The 17,778-nt window shown below is 48.8% G+C and overlaps 1 protein-coding gene across 14 annotated transcripts in view, besides 12 other annotated features; it reads right to left on the minus strand.

Moving 5' to 3' along the window:
• FGFR1 (fibroblast growth factor receptor 1) overlaps nucleotides 1–17,778 on the minus strand; it is a 57,493-nt gene that overhangs the window by 27,268 nt on the left and 12,447 nt on the right. The window contains exon 3 of one of the 14 annotated variants that reach the window (NM_001174064.2): nucleotides 1,896–1,963. The exons of the other annotated variants lie outside the window; for them this stretch is intronic. Coding sequence (NP_001167535.1) covers nucleotides 1,896–1,962 — 67 coding nt within the window. The 5' untranslated portion in view covers nucleotide 1,963. The remainder of the gene's footprint in view (nucleotides 1–1,895; nucleotides 1,964–17,778) is intronic. 14 annotated transcript variants of the gene reach the window in all.
• Nucleotides 438–1,228: an enhancer, noted in NCBI's record as "OCT4-NANOG-H3K27ac-H3K4me1 hESC enhancer chr8:38296366-38297156 (GRCh37/hg19 assembly coordinates)". NCBI's record gives its function as "activates a minimal SCP1, AML or CMV promoter by ChIP-STARR-seq in naive H9 embryonic stem cells {active_cell/tissue: H9 hESC(naive)}" and the evidence as "EXISTENCE:reporter gene assay evidence [ECO:0000049][PMID:30033119]".
• Nucleotides 2,020–2,809: an enhancer, noted in NCBI's record as "OCT4-NANOG-H3K27ac-H3K4me1 hESC enhancer chr8:38297948-38298737 (GRCh37/hg19 assembly coordinates)". NCBI's record gives its function as "activates a minimal SCP1, AML or CMV promoter by ChIP-STARR-seq in naive and primed H9 embryonic stem cells {active_cell/tissue: H9 hESC(naive and primed)}" and the evidence as "EXISTENCE:reporter gene assay evidence [ECO:0000049][PMID:30033119]".
• Nucleotides 2,810–3,600: an enhancer, noted in NCBI's record as "NANOG-H3K27ac-H3K4me1 hESC enhancer chr8:38298738-38299528 (GRCh37/hg19 assembly coordinates)". NCBI's record gives its function as "activates a minimal SCP1, AML or CMV promoter by ChIP-STARR-seq in primed H9 embryonic stem cells {active_cell/tissue: H9 hESC(primed)}" and the evidence as "EXISTENCE:reporter gene assay evidence [ECO:0000049][PMID:30033119]".
• Nucleotides 3,601–4,391: an enhancer, noted in NCBI's record as "OCT4-NANOG-H3K27ac-H3K4me1 hESC enhancer chr8:38299529-38300319 (GRCh37/hg19 assembly coordinates)". NCBI's record gives its function as "activates a minimal SCP1, AML or CMV promoter by ChIP-STARR-seq in naive H9 embryonic stem cells {active_cell/tissue: H9 hESC(naive)}" and the evidence as "EXISTENCE:reporter gene assay evidence [ECO:0000049][PMID:30033119]".
• Nucleotides 4,392–5,182: an enhancer, noted in NCBI's record as "OCT4-NANOG-H3K27ac-H3K4me1 hESC enhancer chr8:38300320-38301110 (GRCh37/hg19 assembly coordinates)". NCBI's record gives its function as "activates a minimal SCP1, AML or CMV promoter by ChIP-STARR-seq in primed H9 embryonic stem cells {active_cell/tissue: H9 hESC(primed)}" and the evidence as "EXISTENCE:reporter gene assay evidence [ECO:0000049][PMID:30033119]".
• Nucleotides 5,183–5,972: an enhancer, noted in NCBI's record as "H3K27ac hESC enhancer chr8:38301111-38301900 (GRCh37/hg19 assembly coordinates)". NCBI's record gives its function as "activates a minimal SCP1, AML or CMV promoter by ChIP-STARR-seq in naive and primed H9 embryonic stem cells {active_cell/tissue: H9 hESC(naive and primed)}" and the evidence as "EXISTENCE:reporter gene assay evidence [ECO:0000049][PMID:30033119]".
• Nucleotides 7,429–7,976: an enhancer, noted in NCBI's record as "OCT4-NANOG-H3K27ac-H3K4me1 hESC enhancer chr8:38303357-38303904 (GRCh37/hg19 assembly coordinates)". NCBI's record gives its function as "activates a minimal SCP1, AML or CMV promoter by ChIP-STARR-seq in primed H9 embryonic stem cells {active_cell/tissue: H9 hESC(primed)}" and the evidence as "EXISTENCE:reporter gene assay evidence [ECO:0000049][PMID:30033119]".
• Nucleotides 7,977–8,523: an enhancer, noted in NCBI's record as "OCT4-H3K27ac-H3K4me1 hESC enhancer chr8:38303905-38304451 (GRCh37/hg19 assembly coordinates)". NCBI's record gives its function as "activates a minimal SCP1, AML or CMV promoter by ChIP-STARR-seq in primed H9 embryonic stem cells {active_cell/tissue: H9 hESC(primed)}" and the evidence as "EXISTENCE:reporter gene assay evidence [ECO:0000049][PMID:30033119]".
• Nucleotides 12,123–12,846: an enhancer, noted in NCBI's record as "OCT4-H3K27ac-H3K4me1 hESC enhancer chr8:38308051-38308774 (GRCh37/hg19 assembly coordinates)". NCBI's record gives its function as "activates a minimal SCP1, AML or CMV promoter by ChIP-STARR-seq in primed H9 embryonic stem cells {active_cell/tissue: H9 hESC(primed)}" and the evidence as "EXISTENCE:reporter gene assay evidence [ECO:0000049][PMID:30033119]".
• Nucleotides 12,847–13,570: an enhancer, noted in NCBI's record as "OCT4-H3K27ac-H3K4me1 hESC enhancer chr8:38308775-38309498 (GRCh37/hg19 assembly coordinates)". NCBI's record gives its function as "activates a minimal SCP1, AML or CMV promoter by ChIP-STARR-seq in primed H9 embryonic stem cells {active_cell/tissue: H9 hESC(primed)}" and the evidence as "EXISTENCE:reporter gene assay evidence [ECO:0000049][PMID:30033119]".
• Nucleotides 14,295–15,018: an enhancer, noted in NCBI's record as "OCT4-H3K4me1 hESC enhancer chr8:38310223-38310946 (GRCh37/hg19 assembly coordinates)". NCBI's record gives its function as "activates a minimal SCP1, AML or CMV promoter by ChIP-STARR-seq in primed H9 embryonic stem cells {active_cell/tissue: H9 hESC(primed)}" and the evidence as "EXISTENCE:reporter gene assay evidence [ECO:0000049][PMID:30033119]".
• Nucleotides 16,528–17,230: an enhancer, noted in NCBI's record as "OCT4-H3K4me1 hESC enhancer chr8:38312456-38313158 (GRCh37/hg19 assembly coordinates)". NCBI's record gives its function as "activates a minimal SCP1, AML or CMV promoter by ChIP-STARR-seq in primed H9 embryonic stem cells {active_cell/tissue: H9 hESC(primed)}" and the evidence as "EXISTENCE:reporter gene assay evidence [ECO:0000049][PMID:30033119]".

Here is a 17,778-nt window from a genome sequence, read left to right on the forward strand (position 1 = left end):
TGCACGCCTGTAATCCCAGCTACTGAGGAGGCTGAGGCAGGAGAATCACTTGAACCTAGGAGGCAGAGGTTGCAGTGAACCGAAATCACACCACTGCACTCCAGCCTGGGTGACAGACCCAGACTCCGTCTCAAAAAAAAAAAAAAAAAGGAATTATTATCTTCAGAGGGGGAAACTGGGGCACAGAAAGATTTGGGATTAGTCCAAGATGGCCCAGCTAGGTTGTTAAGTGGCAGAGCTGGGATTCAAACACAGGTAGCCTGGTTCTCCAGAATCCACATACATCATACATCCAGAGTCCAGCTTTACCGCTGTGCAAGGCAGCCTCAATCTTCACAGTGTCTTGACTTCCCCAGGTGAGGAAGCCCTTCTGGTTCAGCCCTTTGATTCTGTCTAATGGCACCCCCTGCATCCTACCTCCTCCCGTGAGATTCTGAAGTTGGTTGCTTTGGCCTTATCCTCCCCTCCTTCCCTCATTTCCTCAAGCCCATAGCTCATATCAATCATTACCTTACAGTTGAGTGCTTTTAATTATAAAATGCACTCTCCTGCCCCTGCGAGTCCAGCAGGCTCGGCTGTCCAAATGTGGCAGGTGAGAAAATGGGGGAGGTGTTCATTGTGATTGTGGCAGACTCAAGACCAGTAACAATGCCCTGTTTTGGCATTGCACTTAATATTTCATAGGGCCTGCTTCCTTGTGACCAGGTGACTTGTGTTCCTTCCCATTTAAACATGGAAAAATGGCTCCCAAAGTCACAAAACAGGGACAAGCTCTAGAGGCTGCATCTGCTGGGTCCTGGCCCCTCCACTGTGTCCAGGTACTCTTCCAGGGTTCAGTCCAGCCAGCACTGTCGCAGCACATGGGGTGATGAGGGGTGGCCCACTCCAGGTCTGTGCCGCTCTGCCTGGGCCACAGGAGACAGCACCCTGCCTCTCCTGTCCTCAGCTCAATCCCCAGCAGTCACCTGACACCTTCTCTTCTCGAGCCCCTCACCGTTGATTACAGCTTACAGCTGATGACCCCTGATGACCCACTGAGAAGATTAAGAACACGAGGCAAAAGAGCTGGTCCGCCCTCCCCCTTGGGCCACATCCTCAGGACTGCACAGGGCTCACAAGGGTCCCGGCTTTCAAGTCCTGACTGCTCCAGACCCCCAACACTCCATGACAGCCCCAGCTGGTCTGGAGCCTCTCAACCACGTCCTCTCCCACCCCTGGTTCGGCCACTACCCCAGTTCCACCTCCCCAGTGGAGCCAATATCCTCACTGCTCCTTTCATTTTCCTTTTCTTCCCCTAAATGCCTTTCTCCTTCTCTCTCTCCAACAAGCAATCATCTCCATCACTTTCCTAGGCCTTAAAACTCACTCTTCTGAGACTGGCCAAACTGCATTCTCCACCTCTCCCCAACATGAATGTGCCTTTCCCTAGAGCTGAAAATGTTCATGCCTGTGTCTTGCACTTACTCATGTTGCTGGGGTGCTGGGCTGACAGTAGGTATTTGTATTACCTACTCTACGTTCTACACTCCAAAGGGCTTAGGGCTTGGATAACTGGCCCCCAACAAAATCCAGGCATCCTCCATGAGCATGATGTCTCAGGGTAGCAATTTCTATCATCCCTATTCCATCTTTTTGATTTCTGAGTTAAGAAAATTAGGAGAGAAAGGCTAAACTCCTCAGCAACATGGGGGAAACTGGTGGTCCAGGAATGTTTACAGTCTTGGTATAAACTCCCCAGAGATAAATGAGGGGGCAATTGTGGGTGGGGGAGGAACTCGGGGTGGCTTTGAAAGCAACTTAAAAGGAGCACAGAACAGCGCAGCGGGGCTCCGGGGGCCCTCTGCAGAGGTTTTTTTATTACGTATTTTGGCTTTGAAATGGAACTGAAAACTTACCTTCGGCTGGCAGGACCCGGCCAGAGTGCAGAAGCATCTCACCGAAATCCCGGGTCACAGCTGCCATCCTACAAGGGTTTGGGTGGAGAGAGCCCCAAAAATGTGTTTCTCTCAACTCTCGGAGTCCCCAAATAGAAGGAGAGCTGCAAAAATGGGGGGCACAGGTATGTGTGGAAAGAGAGCCGGGAGCACCAAATCAATTAGCAGGGCCTGACACCCAGGGCCAATGGCGTCCACCAGCCCCCCGACCCAGGGGATTTGGAGAAGGGCTTTTTTTTTTTTTTTAAATTGAAGAAAGTGAAAAGAGTAAGAGGGGACATTTTGCATGCAAATGGGCCACTGCCAGAAGAGCCCATTAAAATGTAAAAACTCCACATTCAGCCTGACAAAACGGTGCAAACTGCTGTGTTTGCCAGAGGGCCGGCAATAAAGCTCACAACAAAGGGGCCGGGGGACAATGGCAGACTGAATGGCCTCTGCCAGCAGGTCCCCCCGTGCGTTGCCATGGGGACCCCACCGGGGCTTACTAAAGGTATTTCCTGAGGAGAAAGGCCGAGCACACAGGCCCAGGCAGCCCGGCTAATCCTGACAGGAAGCCATGGCCATTCAGCAGCCCAGGGGCTTGGGGCCCAGAGTTTTGTTTTGTTTTTATTAAAAAAAGATTTCGGCCTTTTGTGCGTCCCACCTCGTCACTGTAATTTAGTGCCGAGCCGCCTGCACTAGCCAAAGCCACAGCCAGGACCCTGCACCCGCCCCGAGACCCCCCAAAAACAGATCCCCCCGAGCTGGGCAGCAAGACACGTGTAGAATCCCACTTGGGAATCGCAGGCGCCAAGAGCTATTGGCCTGGAGAGTTGTGTGTGGATCTTAAAAGACAGAGGGACTCTGGGTGTCGTAAAGGATAACGCAGCCTGAGAACTGAGTTTGGGGCTCAAGCTTCTATGCACGGATTCATCTGATGCCTCCTTCAAATCTGTACTTTTTTCCCCTAGGGATTTTGCCACCTTTCTCCAATCAGCACCAGTGTCCCCCACCTCCTCCCTACCTCTCACAATGGGGAGTTCACTACCTCACTGGGAGAAGGGCTGTAATTAAGTGATTAACAAAGGAATGCACCCAAGAGTTGTCTGAAAAGAAATTTCCCTCCTTCCTCTCTCCCCAGCAAAAGTTCTCACCCTATTGTTTACTGATACATTAAGGACAGAGCTGTACAGAAAACTCTTACTACACTCTTTCGCTCAACCTATTCCCAATACACTTTGCTTCTCTCCCTCCTATCTAAACAGGAAGAAAGCATTGCTCTGGAAAGAGGGAAGTTCATTCACTCATCCAAGAAGAGCAAAGGTAGATGCCCTGCGGCTATGGAGGAGGGCCGTCCAAGCTCACAGTTCCTAGAAGTTTGTGTCACCATTTCACATTTAGCACCAGAATCCAGCCTTGGCAGATTCAGGGAAGGAAGCCAAGGACACAGCTGGTGGTGAAGACAGAAACTCCTGTGTGACAACTGCCCCCTAGGACACAGTTTAGGGTCAATTAACATTTCCTGAACAACTTGCAAATGGAAAGAGCCATCCCCAATGAAGACTGAAAAATGAGAGGCTCAACTCATCTATTATGACTTGAACCCAAGTCTATCTGTGTTTGCAAAGGCTGTGCTGTTGCACCTAGACCTCCACCCAGAAACATGTTTTGGGGCTGACATTTTAATAGAAACATAGAGAGGAAAACATACTATTTCGGAGACATTAAGACTGTGACTAGCAACTGCCCCGGATACCCTGGGAAGCTTCTAAGGCCATATTGGGTGGGTCCTATTTTGGGAAAAGAAGTTGGGGCATCTGCACGATAATAGAAAGCTCCCAGGATCTGGTAAGGACCACTTAGGTGGACTGTAAGTTGGGGGGATCTAAACACTCAGGTTGGACCGGGGCAGGGGGAGTGTCTTCTCCTGCCTTTATTATAATATAAATCACATCCTAAACTCAAAGCAAAGTCCAACTCGTCATCACCTGTGACAGTGCATAAGAAAGAACATCTTCCACCAAGTTGTTAAAGTGGTGTGTGTGTGTGTGTGTGTGTGTGTGTGTGTGCAGGGGTCCCACTGCTGGAGGGGAGCTCAGACTCTCCCACCACTGGCCCGGAGCCCAGGCCTCCCAGCCATGTGTCTGCAGCTGCGACCTGTCATGCACTTCCTGGTCTGGGTTCTGTAATGGAAAGATCATTAAGAGTGGGGGAGGGTGGAGAGATGAATCAACGGCAAAGAGGTAACCCTGCAGCTCCCACTCTCCACTGAGCTCTGACCTTAAAGTTCGGTCAGGTTCCTTAAGGAAAAGAATGTATCGCCCTCCCCCCACCTCTCCCAGCTGGGGCCTCTCGAACAACCTCCCCTCCCCCAAACTCAGCAGAAATTGTATGGGGAAGGAAACGCCAGCAGCTGGGCAGGGAAAAGTTGCCGCTCCCTAAACTTGCTGATGAATTAGTAGAGGCTTCAGCTGTTTCAGGATGTGTCTTCTGGTCCCCCAAGCCCGACATGGGTGCTTGAGCTCACAGTTCACCTGGACTCTCAGCACCCCAAGTGCCTGCCATATCCCCGCAATCCCGTCTCATTCCTGCAATGGTGGGGCTGGGTCACCAGCCTCTCCAGAGTAGAGAAAGGAATGGGCTTCATAAAGTTACTTTTTCTCCACCGTAAAGAAATTCTCTTAAGGTTTCACACGATGAGACTAAAGACAATAAAACATCCTTTGAAAATGAAAAGCTGTAGAATAGTGGTTACCAAGGGGCTGGAAGAGGGGAGAAGGGGGAGTTAGCGTTGAACAGGTAAGGTGTCAGGGAAGGTGAAATGGATGGTGGTGATGGCTACACAGCGTGAATAAATTTTATGCTACAAAACTGTGCACTTAAAATTGGTGAAAATGCACCACAAAGAAATGATAAATATTTAAAGTGATGGATACAATACAGCAATTACCATGATTTGGTCGTTACATAATGTGTGCGTGGATCAAAACATCATACCGTACCCGACGATTATACATAACCATTATGCATCAATTACAAATTTAAAAATTGGCCGGGCACAGTGGCTCACATCTCTTAACTCCAATACTTCGGGAGGCTGAGGTGAGAGGATTGTTTGAGTCCAGGGGTTAGAGATCAGCCTGAGCAACAAAGTGAGACCTCATCTCTACAAAAAAAAAAAAAAAAGAAAAACAAAATTAGCCAGGCATGGTAGCGTGCACCTGTGGTCCCAGCTACTTGGGAGGCTGAGGTGGGAGGATCTCTTGAGCCCGGGAGGTCGAGGCTGCAGTGAGCTGAGATAGCAACACTGCACTCCAGCCTGGGTGACAAAGTGTGACCCTGTCTCAAAAACATTACATAATCAATTTAACTTAAAAAAATAAAAATAGTTAAAATGGTTAATTTTATGTTACATATATTTTACCACAACAAAAGAATTAGATGGCGCTGGGCTCGGTGGCTCACGCCTGTAAACCCAGCACTTTGGGAAGCTGAGGTGGGCGGATCACATGAGGTCAGGAGTTCGAGACCAGCCTGACCAACATGGAGAAACCCCGTGTCTACTAAAAATACAAAATGAGCCAGGTGTGGTGGCGAATGCCTGTAATCCCACCTACTCAGGAGGCTGAGGCAGGAGAACTGCGTGAACTCAGGAGGTGGAGGTTGCAGTGAGCTGAGATCGCACCATTGCACCCCAGCCTGGGCAACAAGAATGAAACTGTCTCAAAAAAAAAAAAAAAAAAAAAAAAAAGAATCAGGTGGTAATGGTAGCAGGCAGCATTAGTTTATTAAAAACGTTCTTACTTGGCAAAAAAGTTGATGATCCTTTGTTGGTTCCAAAAATCTGGAGGGAAATTTTACTGGCCTATGAAATCTAAAAATCTGGGACCACTGGTCTGTTCCACGAATTTCCAGGAGAGCTTGGACCCAGAGACTGCTTCATTCACATCCCATCTATCCATACCCCACACATTCATCCTTCAGTCTCACTTTTATGCACACAACATGAACGTTGAGCATTTAGTACTCTCAGTTTTAAGAAATTAAAAACATGGTTCGGGTTTTTTTTTTTTTTTCTTTGAGACAGGGTCTCATTCTGTAGCCCAGGCTAAAGAACAGTGCCATGATTTCAGCTCACTGCAGCCTCCACCTCCCTGGCTCAAGTGATCCCCCCACCTCAGCCCCCCAAGCAGCTGGGAGTATAGGCACTTGCCACCACGCGTGGCTAAATTTTTTTTTTTTTTTTGTAGAGACAGGGTTTTACCATGTTGGCCAGGCTGGTCTTGAACTCCTGACGTCAGGTGATCCACCTGCCTGGGCCTCCAAAAGTGCTGGGATTACTGGCATGAGCCACCATGCCCAGCCAGTTTAGGGATTTTTCTACCTGAGAGTGTGTGGCTCTGTGGTAGCCAGGAAGCTAAAGCCTAGTATCTATGCTCAGGGTTCCAGTGATCTGGGGATCTAGAACAATCCTGGGAAAAGAGCCCTTACTCTCAGCAAAGTCAGTATTCCCCATGTCCTACTAGAAGAGAGAGAGTATACTTTGAGGTCCTTGTAAAACCATTTAGTCCCAAACTCAGCTTGAGCCACAGGTAGTTGTCACTGGCTGGGTCCAGCCAGAGAGAGTACCTGAAGAAATCACTCAGATGACAGCTGATCACTTACTGTGTGACCTCAGGCAAGTCACCTCCCCTCTCAAGCCTCAGCTTCCTCCACTGTAAAATGAGAAGGCTGACTGACCCTGTCCCAGCCCTAACCAATGTCCTGTTTCACCTGGGTCTTGTGAGATGATAGAGGGGCATCGCTTACTGGCATCCCTTTCCGTGCCCATCGTGAGCACAAAGCTCCCTCTGATGTGAGGGAAGTGAAGAGCCCTCAACTGTCCTTGAGTTGTCCTTCAGAAAAAACGATTCTGTGTTGGTCTCAGGGCTCCGGCTACCAGCACCTTCAATAAATGCTTCTCCTCTTCACCCGTTCTCCCTGGCCTGGGGTGCTTCTCCAGAATCTAAGGCTGGCAGAAAGCCCAGCTATACATGGAGGATTCACTTTAGTGTCATCTTTTGATGGTCATGATATATTACCCCATGAGAATGGCTAGGCCAATAAATTTTTTAAATGCACTGGGAGTTTGGGGTAGTGAAGAAGGGCTAAAATTATAAAATAAACATCACTTTCAAGTGCATGTCAGGCATTCATACAGTCTCAATGAAATTGACATTTCATTTTTTGGGGAACGGAGTCTCACTCTGTTGCCCAGGCTGGAGTGCAATGGTGCAATCTTGGCTCACTGCAACCTCCGCCTCCTGGATTCAAGTGCTTCTCCTGTCTCAGCCTCCAGAGTAGCTGGGATTACAGGCGCCTGCCATCACGCCCGGTTATTTTTTTTTTTTTTTAATATTTTTAGTAGAGACACTATGTTGGCCAGGCTGGGCTTGAACTCCTGACTTCAGGTGATCTGCCCGCCTCAACCTCCCAAAATGCTGGGATTACAGGTGAGCCACTGTGCCTGGCCGCAAGTGACACTTCAAATCATGACTACCCAAGTTTTGAATGCCTAACTTCATTCAGTAGTTAGTAAAGGAAACTGACTCTTCTAAGGTTCAAAAGCTACTTCCTAAAACCTAAGGAAAATAAACCTTAATTCCAAAAGTAAACTCTGGAGTTTGACACCAGAGGAGGAGAAGGACACTTCTGAAGGGCTGGAGTGCTGATAAGCATTCTAAAGGCAGTGATAATTGACTGAAAGCTGTGGCAGAGCAGGAGAGCATTCCAGGAAAAGGGTGTCCTTCCTTCCTAGGGAAGCTCTTAGATCACTTCCCTGTTCACATCCTTCTCCTCCCCCATGCCTCCAAGGCAAACTGACTCAGCCCTCTCCCACCTTTTTTTTTTTTTTTTTTTTTTTAAAGAGGAAGTCTTGCTATGTAGCCAGGCTGCAGTGCAGTGGCACAATCTCGGCTCATTGCAACCTCTGACTCCCTGGTTCAAGCGATTCTCCCGCCTCAGCCTCCCGAGTACTTGGGATTACAGGCGCCCGCCACCACACCCGGCTAGTTTTTTGTATTTTAGTAGAAACAGGGTTTCACCGTGTTGCCCAGGCTGGTCTCGAACTCCTGAGCTCAGGCAATCAGCCCACCTTGGCCCCCAAAAGTGCTAGGATTACAGGTGTGACCCACCACACCAGGCCTAGGTGATCCTCCTACCTTAGCCTCCCGAGTAGCTGGGATTACAGGCGCCCACCACCACGCCCAGGTAATTTTTTGTATTTTTTGTAGAGATGGGGTTTATGCCATGTTGCCCAAGCGGGTCTTCTGAGCTCACTCTATCTGCCCACCTCGGCCTCCCAAAGTGCTGGGATTACAGGTGTGAGCCACTGCGCCTGGCCCTTCTTCATTATTTATAAAAAACACTAGTAGCCTCAAAAAAATGTTAATGTCCCAGCCTCTGAAGCTTTTGATATGTTTACTTCCATTCATCAGAGATTGTTGGACCACATCCATATTAGAAGCAATCTAGTTTATGCGTCCAGGCAATACCCATACCACACATTCTAGGCTAACTGTGACCTATAAAGAAAACTCAGGTGTCGGATCTGACACCTTGGGAACCTTCTCCATGTAGGTCTTTGGCAACAGTGGAAATGGCAGCGTCCATGGGGATTTTGTTCCATTGATTATTCTAGGCTAGGGAACCTTGTTCATTAAGGCAGTTCACAGACCTGTGACTGATGTGTAACCTCTCTACAGAATGCCACAGGAGATATTACTGCAAGCAAACACACACACACACACACACACACACACACACACACACACACACACACACACACCCCTGACAAAGGGAGGGGATGCCTGACTCCTGTGAGACAAAGGGGACTGAGCCAGCAATGTTTACATTCAGAAGTTGGTCCACCTAGATTTTGTGGGGAAACCCAATTTGATATAGAAAAATAGTGTAATACAATGGGAAAAAAATACTATAGCAGAACCACCTGAGTTTAAATCCTAGTTCCACCCCTCACCCACTATATAAACTTAAGATAGGTTACTTAACCCCTCAAACCTCAGTTTACTCATCTGATTATGGTCATAAAACCTATGCCTATGGAATCATTGTAAAAATGGGAAAATGTCAAGCATGCAGAGTGTGGAGATGATATTTATTATTATTACTTTTGAGACAGAGCGTTGCTCTGTCGCCCAGGATGGAGTGCAGTGGTGCAATCTCAGCTCACTGCAACCTCCACCTCCTGGGTTCAAGCTATTCTCCTGCCTCAGCCTCCTGAGTAGCTGGGACTACAGGTGGCCGCCATCATGACCGGCTAATTTTTGTATTTTTAGTAGAGAAGGGTTTTGCCATGTTACCAAGGCTGGTCTCAAACTCCTGACCTTAAGTGATCTGCCTGCCTCGGCCTCCCAAAGTGCTGGGATTATAGGTGTGAGCAACTGCACCCGGCTGGTATTTATTATTATATTTTAAAAGACATTTACTGGTATAATCTTTTGGGGGATATTTGGTATAGTGATGTAATAGTGATAAAATCAAAACTTAAAACAAATGGAACTATCCTTGGATACATGGACAGATTTTATTTGTAAGAATATGTTCTATTGAATGCAAACTATTGAAAATAACCTAAATGCCCAAATGTAGAGAACTGGATCAACTTTGTACACCCACACAATGGAACATTATGTAGTTCTTAAGCATAATGAAAAACATTCTCTGTATGGCTCTAAATGCTGATATCAGTCACAAAACATCGTATACAGTATAAATCCTAATTCTGAAAAGTCAGGTTTACATAAATGCAAGAAAAAAGTCTAAAACAATAAATTCAGTTAACAGTGATTGCTTTTGAATGATGGAATTATAGGAGTCTTCCTTTTCCTCTTTACAGGTCTGTATTTTCTGAATTTTGAAAGATGAACCCAGATTATCTAACAAAACACCAATTTTTTTTTTTTTTTTTTTGAGACGGAGTTTCGCTCTTTTGCCCAGGCTGAAGTGAAGTGGTGCGATCTCGGCTCACTGCAACTTCCGCCTCGCGGGTTCAAGTGATTCTCCTGCTTCAGCCACCTGAGTAGATGGGATTATAGGTGCGTGCCACCACACCTGGCCAATTTTTGTATTTTTAGTAGAGACAGGGTTTCGCCAGGCTGGCCAGTGCTGGGATTACAGGAGTGAGCCACCGCGCCCAGCCTAAACACTAATGTTTTTAAAAGAGTGATAAAGATATACTTGCTGACTATAGAGAACTTTGCTCTAGTGGAGTAAACAGACATCTATTAAAAACTCCACATAATGTGAGGCAGAGTAAAGTAAGTGTTAGAATGAAAGTTAAAAAGAGGCCAGGTGTGGTGGCTCACGCCTGTAATCCCAGCACTTTGGGAGGCTGAGGCGGGTGGATCACTTGAAGTCAGGAGCTCAAGACCAGACTGGCCAACATGGCGAAAACCTGTCTCTACAAAAAATACAAAAATTAGCTGGGCATGGTGGTGGGTGCCTGTAATCCCAGCTTCTCGGGAGGGTGAGGCAGAAGAATCGCTAGCACCTGGGAGGCAGAGGTTGCAGTGAGCCGAGATCGCGCCACTGCACTCCAGCCTGGATGACTAAGCGAGACTACATCTCAAAAGGGCATGGTGGCTCATGCCTGTAATCCTAACACTTTAGGAGGCTGAGGCCAGAGGATCGCTTGATCCCAGGAGGTCGAGGCTGCAGTGAGCCATGATCACTCCACTGCACTCTAGCCTGGGCAACAGAGCGAGACTAGGTCTCAGGAGAAAAAAAAAACACAGAAAAAAGAAAAAGAGAAAAAATGGGGTAATTAATTTGGAGATAGGGGAAGGCTTCAAAAGGGAGGTGGCCCTTAAGTTAAGCTTTAATCTAAACCCAAGCTAAACCTTAAACTAAGATTTGAGCAGGAATTATAAAAAGTGAAAAGGAAGAAAAGGACAGGAACAGATATTTCCAGCTAAGGGACTAGGATAAAACAATGTATAAAGTATACATTGTATTTACGGAAAAAGGAAGAGACTTGCTTGACTAGATGAATGAATAAATGAATGAGTGAAAAAAAATCAGTCAATGAATGGACCATTAGCCAGAAGCTAGTTTTTGATCCTAGAGAAAAGTGAGGAAGGGCTAAGCTCTGAATTCAATGTTCACTGTTGGTTAACTCCTAGAAACCTCCGTGTTGCTGTTTCTGACCTCTTTCTCTGCCCAACCTCGTAACCACTAAGTCTACTCTTTGCGGAACTCCTTGACCCTCTCACCCACTTCAGGCTCCCTGTGTCTCCATGTCCAGGGCCTGGGAACACAAATGGCACAGCCCCCACCCCACCTTTTACACAACCCATCCCGGGAGGCTCAGCCACGCCACAGCATGTGAACGAGGAGAGGGCGTGGAGTTTCAAGCTCTGCCAGGGTGGATCTTTCTCAGTGCCTGAAACCAGCTACACGGAGCCCTCACCCCACAGCCCCTAGTTTGCAGGGCACAAATGCTTTACATGAAGGCAGTAGATACCTGTTTGGCAAGTGGAAAGGCAAGAACTGTTGTGAGCCAAGAAACAGGAGAAGGGAGGGAACTCTGAGGGTAGAAGTTCAATGTCTCTTGGTGCCACACTGGCAATGCTAAGAGGCAACAGGCCCACTACCGGGGAGGAGGGGTTAGGGCAATTGGCCCTGCTACTTGGCTGCCACCAGCTGTAAGTCAGAGCAAACCCCAAGGTCAGAAGTGGCCCAGACTCCAGCAGGCTTCTCCTAGGAGGAAACAGTTTGGGATTTAGCCCAGGCCCTTCAGATCCAGGTAGGGCAGTTAGCTTTCAGCTTAATTATTTAGGGTGCAGTGGGGCTGGGGAGTATGGTGGGTGGGGAGAAGGGATTGCCTGCCTGCAAGTTGGTGAAAGAGCCAGGCCCAGGAGGAAGGCCTGGGCCGCCCCGTTCAGGAGCCCAGGAGAATGAGAGCAGCTGGACTTCCCCGGTCAACAGGGAAACAGTTGTCTCATTTCCAAGCCTCAGGGAAGGAAGAAAGAGGCAAAGGTGGTGTCTACAGGGTGAGCTGGAGCCCCCAGTGGCCCCGGAGGAACGAGGCATTGTGAAAATAGGGCCAGCTGCTGGTCGGGCTCTCTGACCCCAGACCTCGCCCTCCCGGATAATGACTCCCCAGGACTCACTTCTCCCAGGGCCATTCATCACCGCCCAGACACAAGCCATCACTCACTGCTTCTGCCTGGCCAGGAGCAAACACCCCTCCGTGCTGGGGCCACAGGCTCCCAAAGAATCCCTGATGCTGTCTCTCCAGTTCCTGCTGACCCGACTCCAGGTAGTCACAGGAACCAGGTGATGGAAACCCTGACAGAGTCTTTGTTTGGGATCCCTCCCTTCCCCCACTGGCAGCAAGATCTCTGGACAGCCATTTGTTCTTCCCTGAGAAATTCCTCCTCCCTGACTTCAGGGAGCGGGCCTGGCAGAGCCAGAGTGGAAAATCAGTGAAGCTAATGGTGTAGCAATGCAGAAGCCGGAGCCAAGAACACAGCCTCGGAGTGGCTTTGCTGCGCTTGCCCCAGCTTGGTCAAGAGGGCCACGTGAGCGTCCTCACATTCTCTCACAGGCCGAGGGCTGGGTCCTCCCTGTCCAGCTCTGAACACTTGCAAACACCCCTTCCAGGCACTGGAGCCACTTCTCCAGGGGAAGTGGGACAGAGCTGATCCTCTGGGGAAACCTGTTATGAGCTTAGCACCTTGCAGATTTCTAGAGGCCTAAATCCTCCACCCTTGTTCTCAAGAGGGTCATCTGACATCACCTTTTGCTCCATGGAATTCCATTCGCCTTCTGGCAGGGGATGAAGAAACTCCTCTTACCATCCAGGTTGAATGAGAAGCAAACAAGTTCTTTTCATCATAAGAAATCATGCTGGAGATGGGGTGGGAGTAGGGGAGGGTCTTGCCTGTGTCCCAAGGCAGCCTTGGGACACAGGACCACAGTCCAGTGTAGATGCTAGACTACAGGTCTGATAGTGGAACAGAGGGTGTCCCACTACCAAACCTGTAGTACCTATTTGAGACTCTCCCTGCAGCCAGGCTGAAACGCACACCCCTTTGGGCCAAAGGCAGCTGGAGACGCCCAGGGATGGAGGACCTGCAAGGGCCCTATGATCTGAGGCTAGGCAATGGCTCTGGCACCACGCACAGCCTCTCCCCCATAGGTGCAGGTTTCTGCAAAACACAGAGACAAAGCCCCGCTTTGTGGTGCACACAGGGCATCCAGGGGGCTTGAGGCCAGAATGGAAATGTGTGGTTTTTCCATTAAGTGCAACCTCTCCCCCCTCTAACAAGCCACCAGACTCCTTCAAATCTGGGTGGGTGGGAGGAGCTGTAAAACTCAGCCCATTAAATCACTTCTGAGCTGCAGGTTTTCTGAGCACTGGGGTGTTTAACCCACAGTACTGCTGAAAAGGGGGCAGGACCCCCACCCCAACTACCAGCAGTGGCCTTGCAAGCAGTGTTGTACTCACTCACTGGCTTTGCCCACCAAGACTTGACTTATTGCAAAAGACAGACAAATGCACCCTCTGCAAGCTCAGAATGTTGGGGCTTATCATCTGAAACCGGCTTCAGTCTTTCCAAACAACTCCCTCACCACTCTCAAAGCCTGATCTGAAACAAGCTGAGGCTCTGTAAGATCCCAAACCAAAGGAGGGGAAGGAGAGGGAGAGGGGAGGGAGGCTGGTTTTCCTGGAACCCTTATTAAATCAACTTTCCAAGGACAGCCAGAAACTCCAGGCCCTCCCCAATCCCTCAGGAGCACTTGCAGACTGAGGGGCGTTGGTACTGCGCTCAGTGGGGAGGGGCTCCCGACAGACACACAGACACACAGACACACACACACACACACACACACACACACACACACACACACACACTTAAAATCACAGCAAGGCCTTTTAAATGGGGAAAACTCAGTGTGAACAGGGTTTTAGGTGGTTTGCTCTCACCTTTTGGACAAAGCCCTTAATACATAGATTATAATGTGTTTCTTCTTTTTTTTAAAGACAGGGTCTCCTTCTGACACCCAGGCTGGAGTGCAGTGGCTTGATTATAGCTCACTGTAGCCTCAACTCCTGGGCTCAAGCAACTCTCAAGCAATTCTCCCATCTCAGCCTCCTGAATAGCTAGGACTGCCGATGTGTGCCACGTTACCCAGCTAATTTTTAAAATTTTTAGAGATGGGGTCTTGCTATGTTGCCCAGGCTGGTCTGGAACTCCCGGGCTCGTGCAATCCTCCTGCATCGGCCTCCTATAGTGCTGGGATTACAGGTGTGAGCCACTGTGCTCGCCCTATGATTTTTTTTTTAGGACAACAGCAGCATTGGCCAGGCATGGTGGCTAACACCTGTAATCCCAGCACTTTGGGAGGCCGAGGTGGGCAGATCATGAGGTCAGGAGACCGAGACCATCCTGGCCAACATGGTGAAACCCCGTCTCTACTAAATATACAAAAAAACTAGCTGGGCGTGGTGGCACGCGCCTGTAATCCCAGCTACTTGGGAGGCTGAGGCAGAAGAATCGCTTGAACCCAGGAGGTGGAGGTTGCAGTGAGCCAAGATCACGCCACTGCACTCCAGCCTCGCGACAGAGTGAGACTCCGTCTCAAATAAATTAATTAATTAATTAAAAAATATCAGCATTATTATTTAATAATCAGCAGGCCCAAGACTATGCAATATACTTTACACTTACAAGGTTCCTTACAGCTTACAAAGCATGAAGCCAGATCTCCCCTTAGAATGTCCTGGGCACAGCAGTTCTCTGTTCTGTCACAAAGCTCATGAGAGACAGGCTATGTGAAAGCACCACACTCACACTGAGACGGGGGCTTACTCCACCAAACAGAGACCTGGGGCTTGTTCTCCAAGTGCAGGGGCTTTCCGTTGCTGTGTCCCATGAAACAACATGCTCCTCGCCATGTGCCGTCTCCCCTGGAGGCCCAGGGAAAGGGACCCACAACGGCCATTGACTGCTCATGGCCTACGGACCAGGCAATGTCCTATGAGCTCTGCAGACATGCTTATTTGATATTCACAATGACCTTATGAGCACACATTCATTATCAATATATTTTATAAAAGGGCACAAAGAGGAACTTCCCCAAGAGCCAACAGTCAGTAAGGTGTGGAGCCAAAATCAAAACCAGGGCAGTCCAAGGAAAATGTGTGCCCACCCAGGCTTGCACATGAAGGTTCACAGCAGTCTTATTACAATAGCCCAAACTGTTATACCTAAATTAAGTTGGTTTGGCCAGGTGTGGTGGCTCACACCTATAGTCCCAGCACTTTGGGAAGCCGAGGTGGGCAGATCACTTGAGGTCAGGAGTTCAAGGCCAACCTGGTGAAACCCATCTCTACTAAAAATATAAAAATTAGCCAGGCATAGTGGTGAGCACCTGTAATTCCAGCTACTTAGGAGGCTGAGGCAGGAGAATCGCTTGAACCTGGGAGGCAGAGGTTGCAGTAAGCCAAGATCATGCCACTGCATTCCAGCCTGGGCAACAGAGTGAAACTCTGTCTCTTAAAACCAACCAACCAACAAACAAACAAACCCAGCTGATCTTAAACTCCTGGGCTCAAGTGATCCTCCTGCCTCTGCCTCCCACAGTACTGGGATTATAGGTGGGAGCCAATGTGCCTTTGAAAATTAAGTTGATTTTTAAAAAATGGTCATTTAATGTCAGTCTTCCTGGGTACATGGCTCCTAAGAGCCCCATCCACCTCTCTTACTCCCTTTCTTCTGTTCACAGGGCCGGTACTTTGTCCTCATCAAGATCTTCAGCCCCCAGGTTCCAGCCTCCACCCTGCCCCAGCAGCTTCCGTGAAGCCCCCTCCTCTACTAGCACCCCCACCCTGGCCCTAAAGTTCCTTATACTCATCCCGTCGGGCTGGCTCACAAGCAGCCAGGCCCGAGATCCACTTCTCCCTTCTTGGGCTGCAAAAAAAAGAAAGTACTTTAGGCTCCATTATAAATTCACATTCTCAAACCTCAACTAGCTCCTTGCTACTCTTCCACTCCTTTATCGCTGTCTACAATTGGCGGATTCAAATCTAAACTCCCCTCAAACCTCCCACTCTGACTCACTCCCTTTACACTCTCATCTCAGTCTCCAGTTGCCCACAGTTGACACCCAACCTACTTAAACCCACAGATGCTATTGCTGTAGTGTCTTTACTACTTTTTCCTTCCTCTATCATCTCCCAGTCCCCATCCTGGTCAGTACCTGCACTTCCTCTAGCCAGACACTCAAAATAACCTGCGACCTCATCCTTCTGGCAGCAGCAGTGGCAGCAATAGCAACTATTAACACCTTACATGGAAGTGCTTCATCTGGATTACCCCACTTAACCCTTTATTATTTATCCCTGTTTTACAGATGAGCAAACTGTGACGTATGGTGTTTGAGTAGTTTGTTGAAGTAAATAATGCAGCTATCAAGTGGCAGAGCAGGATGCAAACACAGGTGCACCTCACTCTTTCCTCCCAGCCATCCACACTGAGCTGCCAAATTAACTTTCTGAAAGCTGATAGTGTCACTACTTGCTAAAAACTTTTCAAGTTTCCCAGCATCTACCCATTTAAGTCTAGTTTTCTTTTCTTGCTTTTTTTTTTTTTTTTTTTTTAGACAGAGTTTCACTCTGTCACCCAGGCTGAAGTGAAGCGGTGTGATCATGGCTCACTGCAACCTCTACCTCCCAGGTTCAAGTGATCCTCCCACCTCAGCCTCCCTAATAGTTGGGACTACAAGCATGTGCCACCACACCTGGCTAATTTTTCTATTTTTTGTAGACACAGGGTCTCATCATGTTGCCCAGGCTGGTCTCAAACTTCTTGGCTCAAGCAATCCTCCTGCCTCGGCTTCCCAAAATGTTGAGATTACCAGCATAATCCACGCCTGGCCTAAGTATAGTTTTCTTTTTCTTTTTTGAGACGGAGTCTCACTCTGTTGCCCAGGCTGGAGTGCAGTGGCGCGATCTCAGCTCACTGCATGCTCTGCCTCCCGGGTTCACGCCATTCTCCTGCCTCAGCTGGAGACTGGAGCTGGAGTAGCTGGGACTACAGGCGCCTGCCACTACGCCCGGCTAATTTTTTTGTATTTTTAATAGAGATGGGGTTTCACCGTGTTAGGCAGGATGGTCTCGAACTCCTGACCTTGTGATCCACCCGCCTCAGCCTCCCAAAGTGCTGGGATTACAGGCGTGAGCCACCGTGCCCGGCCCTAAGTATAGTTTTCTTAGCAGGGCATTAAGCCTTCCATATGCTAACTCAATCCAATTTTTCCAAGTGTTGTTTCCCAGAGCTACCTACTCACCAGGCAAACCGTTCTCCATAAACCATATACATGCTGTCTCTGAACACTCATGCTGTTCAACCTGGAGGGCCCTTCATTTTTCCCCTTCTGAACTCAAGCCCATCTCAGGTGCTCTCTGCTCCCCTCTTCCTCTGCATTCCCACCACCTCTGGTTGTAACTTCACTGGGTGGTTTAAACACAGTCTGTCTTGTGTTACTTATCCCTGTACTTGCCCATCCCTCCTGACCATAAACTCCCTGTGGGCAGACACAGTCTCTCCCACTTTGGGTCCCCACCGTGCTCCAGCTCAGACCTTGCCTTCGGTTCTGTTACTGACAGCAACATGAATATGCCTGCTCTAGCCACTGCACCTTCTATAAAGTCTCACACAACTTTCCCTGTTCATCCCCAACTCCATCCAGAGGACACATATTCTCACCCATCACTCATCATTCAAACGAGTCCCTGACCAGCTGAGTGGCAGCCTTTTGCACACAGCCACCCCATCACGCGCACCTCCAACCT

Source organism: Homo sapiens, chromosome 8, assembly GCF_000001405.40.
Source record: "Homo sapiens chromosome 8, GRCh38.p14 Primary Assembly".
In the NCBI taxonomy this organism is placed as follows: Eukaryota; Metazoa; Chordata; class Mammalia; order Primates; family Hominidae; genus Homo; species Homo sapiens.